Here is a 5,733-nt window from a genome sequence, read left to right as displayed (position 1 = left end):
TAGGTTGTTTTTAAATCTTAGCTATTGTAAACAGTCCTACAACAAACATAGGAGTGCAGATATCTTTTTGATATACTGGCTTCCTTTCTTTTAGATGTATACCCAGCTGTGGGATTGCTGATTCTTATGGTAGATCAATTTTTTGTTTTTTGAGGAACCTCCAAACTGTTCTCCACAGTGGTTGCATTAAACTACGTTCCCACAAACAGTGTCCAAGGGTTCCCTGTCCTCCACATCCTCGCCAGCATTTGTTACTGCCTGTCTTTTTAGCCAGGGCAAGCAGCTAATATTCCTGGCTTTGAACCTTTTTAAGCCAGTGGTACTCCTTCAAGTGACTCACCAACTTCAGTAAGCCTTAACCAAGGTTATGGCTTAATTGAGGTTGCACACAGAATCTCCAAAGAGGTGCAGACCAGTCCTCACAAGATCCAGAACCACCCCAAAGACAGCCCAAGGAAAGGAAAGTTTTGCTACCTGCAAATAGGATACAACTCACATCTGTTCAGCCGTATCCTCTAGGGCGTCAACTTCTCAGCTGGCCATCTACACACAAAGGCCCTAAATCTCTGTGTGCCCCCACAGACAAAAAAATACCAGAAATAAAAAGATGGGAACAATAGACACTGGGACCCACTTGAAAAGGGAGGGGAGGAGAATGGTGAGGGTTAAAAAAACTACCTATGCTCACTACCTGGGTGATGAAATCATTTGTACACCAAACCCCAGTGACATATAATTCACCCATGTAGCAAAACAGCACATGTACACACTGAACCTGAAATAAAAGTAAAAAAAAATATGTCCATTGGAGGGAAAAGGATGGATAACAAATGGTCCCCCAAAAGATAAAAATCACATAAATATCCAACCAAAGTGACTAATTCCCCACCAGGACTCAAACCCAGGCTACGGCAGTGAAAGGATGGAATTTTAACCAGGCTGCAAGGTGCAGTGGCCAGCACTGCAAATTCTGCAGGAGATTCACAGCAGGCACTCTGAGCATATGAAAACTTTAAACTTTGCTTTGGGCCAGATTTTCATTCTTTAATTTTGTCAAAAGAATTTCTAAGGCTAGCCATGAAACCACCATGAGTCTTTATTTTAAGTTAATCTTTCCATAAATACAAATGAGGCAATTGTTTAGAATAAGAGATCTCTTTTTCTAAATTTAGGAGTCTTTCTGACATGAAGGATCAGTTTTCTAACCACTAATGATTAGAATTTCCAATGGTGATCTTATTTCAATAGTGACTTAGTCCAACAAGCCTGTTCATGAAAAGCCTACAAGGCAATTTTACAGGTTTAGAAAAACTTTCACCACATATAACCATATAAGCAATAGGTATTCCTGGAGACAGCATAGATGAGAGAGCCCCAGTGAGCCTCAAAAAATTTATTCTCAGAAACAGGCTTAAGACGGCAAGAGCTCTTGTTGCCACAGATGGTTAAGGATGGTGTTTGTGCATACAGTACCTCCTGTAACCCACAAATTACAGGGGGACTGCCAATCACGGGCACCTTAATCTGCGATACCAGGGAGGCCCTCCTGAAAGTGTACTTTCCCAGGACTAACCGGGCAACAAGGGTTCATATGAGAAAAGCCCCATTGTAGGGGTGGGTTGCCCCTACACACCTGTGGGTGTTTCTCGTAAGGTGGGACGACAGATTTGGAAAAGAAAAAGACACAGAGACAAAGTATAGAGAAAGAAAGAAGGGGACCCGGGGAACCAGCGTTCAGCATATGGAGGATCCCGCCAGCCTCTGAGTTCCCTTAATATTTATTGATCATCCGTGGGTGTTTCTCGAAGAGGGGGATGTGTCAGGGTCACAAGACAATTGTGGGGAGAGGGTCAGCAGACAAACACGTGAACAAAGGTCTTTGCATCATAGACAATGTAAAGGATTAAGTGCTGTGCTTTTAGATATGCATACACATAAACATCTCAATGCTTTACAAAGCAGTATCGCTGCCCGCAGGTCCCACCTCCAGCCCTAAGGCGGTTTTTCCCTATCTCAGTAGATGGAGCATACAATCGGGTTTTATACCGAGACATTCCATTGCCCAGGGACAGGCAGGAGACAGATGCCTTCCTCTTGTCTCAACTGCAAGAGGCATTCCTTCCTCTTTTACTAATCCTCCTCAGCACAGACCCTTTACGGGTGTCGGGCTGGGGGACGGTCAGGTCTTTCCCTTCCCACGAGGCCATATTTCAGACTATCACATGGGGAGAAACCTTGGACAATACCTGGCTTTCCTAGGCAGAGGTCCCTGCGGCCTTCCGCAGTTTTTGTGTCCCTGGGTACTTGAGATTAGGGAGTGGTGATGACTCTTAAGGAGCATGCTGCCTTCAAGCATCTGTTTAACAAAGCACATCCTGCACCGCCCTTAATCCATTCAACTCTGAGTTGACACAGCACATGTTTCAGAGAGCACGGGGTTGGGGGTAAGGTCATAGATTAACAGAATCTCAAGGCAGAAGAATTTTTCTTAGTACATAACAAAATGGAGTCTCCTATGTCTACTTCTTTCTACACAGACACAGTAACAATCTGATCTCTCTTGCTTTTCCCCACACCCCATAGGGATAGAACTTCTTAAGACAAACTCTCCTGAGAGCTTGACACATTTGGAACAAAAAATGTGCTGCCTAAAATCTTACACGTCTGAGGTCCCCAGCCAATTTTAGACTGGCCACTGGATGGGACCCAAACATCACACTTCTCAGATGGTGGAGACCAACTGTGCTCCCACTTGGTTAAAAGCCAAGCTCTCAAGGACATGAAACAAGATCAGAGGGGAACTTCATGTGGTTTTATTTGGGGAACAAATAGTAAAGTTTGCCTGAATAGACACCAGTCTGATCAGAGCCATAAATCTGACCAGTCTTCAGAGGTGGCTCGAAATCGTGTTTCTAGGGGTTCTGGACCCCTGTTCTATTCTGAGGTGCCCTTCTTTGTGACAGTACAACCCAGAGAGACAAACAGAGAGTGAGAGACTATTTCTAGGAGGAAAAGGGATCAAACAACATGATTATTCATGCCAAAGACTACACAAGAGTCGCTACATGCACTACTAGTCACACAAATCTTTTTCTTCCACTAATCAAGATTTTATGGAGAAATAAAAGACAACAATTTTCACCATCTGCTCAAACAGATTCCACACAGAGGCCGGCAGCCTGGCTGATAAGGATTTCTTACTCTTCTGCCAGCTGCTCTGGTCCTGGGTTCCCTTGGCTGCAGCTTCCGGAAGAGCAGGTTTCGGTATTCTGCTCACAGCCGCAAAATGATAGAGCACAAGGGAACACTTCCCCTTTGCGCTCTAAAGTTTCACTGAAAAATCGACTGGCCAAGTGCAGATTAAGAGGAGAAATGGCATGCAGGGCTATTGATGTGCGCAAGGGAGAACCACAAAGTGCTGACCCCAACCTCCAATAGTGCTTAGCACAGCTACCACCTAGAGGCCACGGAAACAATGGGGGCTCACGGCATGGCCAGAAACAAGTGATGGCAAGATCAGGTTATAGTGGCAAGGCAGGCTATAAGAGAGAAGAGAAGGCCCGGCTTGCAAATGAGGTCTTGTTATATAGATGATACTTTACAGCCAACAGCCCTCAGAGAGGGTAGATGGTAGAGGTTCCTTTAAAAGTGGGGTGAAATATTTGTATTTACTTCACTGTGCTAGCCCATAGTATCCTCATCTCTTCTTAGAAGCTCAGGTAGGTAGCGGCTAGATAGGACTGGAATGAAATACTAATGAATTGTACTGGGTCCTGCAGTCTTTTGAAATCTCTCTTTTCCCTAAAACAGCCAGGCAACACTCTCTGACCTCTCCTTTGGTGGGAGACTGACTTCTCCCAACCACGAAGGGAGGAAATGGTCCTGGTGCTCGAAGTCCAGTGTGCAGCTGCATCTTCCTGCTGGACCAGAAGATCAACACTGGGTGGGGTCCCAGGGTTTTAAAATCACTGATCTGGACAGTGAGGCTCAGTCTGTCAATCAGAGTGTTTTACACATAGAGGGCGCCAGCCAAAATATAACTAGAAATAAACCGATATACCCACGCGTTAATGTGTGTATATATATATAGATATAGAATTATGCTTAAAGTTCTGGGGTACATGTGCAGAACATGCAGGTTTCTTACGTAGTTATACACGTGCCATGGAGGTTTGCTGCACCCATCAACCCACCATCTACATTAGGTATTTCTGCTCATGCTATCCCTCCTCTAGCAGCCCAACCCCTGACAGGCCCCGGTGTGTGATGTTCCCCTCCCTGTGTCCATGTGTTCTCATTGTTCAACTCCCACTTATGAGTGAGAGCATGCGGTGTTTGGTTTTCTGTTCTTGTGTTAGTTTGCTAAGAATGATGGTTTCCAGCTTCATCCATGTCCCTGCAAAGGACATGAATTCATCCTTTTTTATGGCTGCATAGTTAAAAATACACACATTATTCCTCAAGGATAATGTGTATATTTTTTACTATATAAAGTAATATATACCATATGTAAATATATGGTAAACATATAAGTAAATAAATAAAATAGAGATGTTTACACATAAACTATGTGATGCTGTCTTTTATTCTGAGGTGGTGTTTCTTCATGGAGGTTAGCAGCAACTTATGTATATATAACTAGAGAGACTACATGTAATTACATGTATGAACATGTATTTCTCTGTATCTATAAAGACAAATATTTATTTATTAAAAAAACATAATCCCCAAATCTCATATAATCACACATGTCCCCCCACCCCACCGCAGATGCAATTCCACATTCCCTGGAGGATCTCACATAAACACGCACACACTCTCACACACACACATGCACATACACACACACACAGATGCACTTCCAAGTTCCCTGGAGGATCTCACATAACACACACACATGCGCGCGCACACACACAAACACACAGATGCACTTCCATGTTCCCTGGGAGACACTGTGCTTTTCTGCCACCTTGTGGTAGCACAGGGAGCCAAAAAGCCCACAGAGTCTTTTTCTGCCAGTTTTATAAGACATTTTATAGTTGGCAAATACCTGGCCATTGGCCTTTAACCAGAACAAGCCCACTGGCTGTTGCCCTCTGTTGGAAAAGCTGCCCACACCTCCAGAACCTCTCAATGAGACTAGGCGCCCATGTTTTGAGTACGTAAGGTACTCGATGTTGTCCCACATCCGGTGGGTGAAGAAGAGGCTTTCCTGGGAGAAGAGAAAATGCTGGGTCTGAGCTTGCAGAATGCGCTGGGGGCAGTGCAGTTGTGGGGGGTTATGGTGGTACATGGCCAGAGGGGCGGAGGAGGACTGGGCGGGGTGCCCCTGAGAGCTTCTGGATGCCTAAGCCTACGTAGACTGAGAAAACCTGTTAGGACAGGGTCTCACGGGCCTGAGGAATACCTGGATGAAAGGCAGTAGGAGAGCCATGAGCCTGAGACCTCACACTAGTGTGAGCAGCAGGGAAACAGGGGTCTGGCTTAACAAAACCCCCTGGACTGCAATACAGGTGGTTGACAAGGAAGAACAGTTCAGTGGTAGAGTGCTGGGCACTGCCTTCCCAGCTGGATGAATAATGCCTGTCCCCAAGCCAGGGCCCAGCTTGTGGTTGAGGCGGTCCATTGTGGTGGATTCAAGTGCGCTTGCTCAAGTGGGGATGCTACTGACATGAATATATGCATCAACATGGAAATAATTTAAACATTGATATACAGATATTTGTGCATACA

At 45.0% G+C, this 5,733-nt stretch overlaps 2 annotated features.

Annotated features, from left to right (window-relative positions):
* Nucleotides 846–1,461: an enhancer, noted in NCBI's record as "H3K27ac hESC enhancer chr10:27183513-27184128 (GRCh37/hg19 assembly coordinates)". NCBI's record gives its function as "activates a minimal SCP1, AML or CMV promoter by ChIP-STARR-seq in naive H9 embryonic stem cells {active_cell/tissue: H9 hESC(naive)}" and the evidence as "EXISTENCE:reporter gene assay evidence [ECO:0000049][PMID:30033119]".
* Nucleotides 1,462–2,077: an enhancer, noted in NCBI's record as "OCT4-NANOG-H3K27ac hESC enhancer chr10:27182897-27183512 (GRCh37/hg19 assembly coordinates)". NCBI's record gives its function as "activates a minimal SCP1, AML or CMV promoter by ChIP-STARR-seq in naive H9 embryonic stem cells {active_cell/tissue: H9 hESC(naive)}" and the evidence as "EXISTENCE:reporter gene assay evidence [ECO:0000049][PMID:30033119]".

This window comes from Homo sapiens, chromosome 10, assembly GCF_000001405.40.
Source record: "Homo sapiens chromosome 10, GRCh38.p14 Primary Assembly".
In the NCBI taxonomy this organism is placed as follows: domain Eukaryota; kingdom Metazoa; phylum Chordata; class Mammalia; order Primates; family Hominidae; genus Homo; species Homo sapiens.
This window is presented reverse-complemented; position numbering and strand designations above follow the sequence as displayed.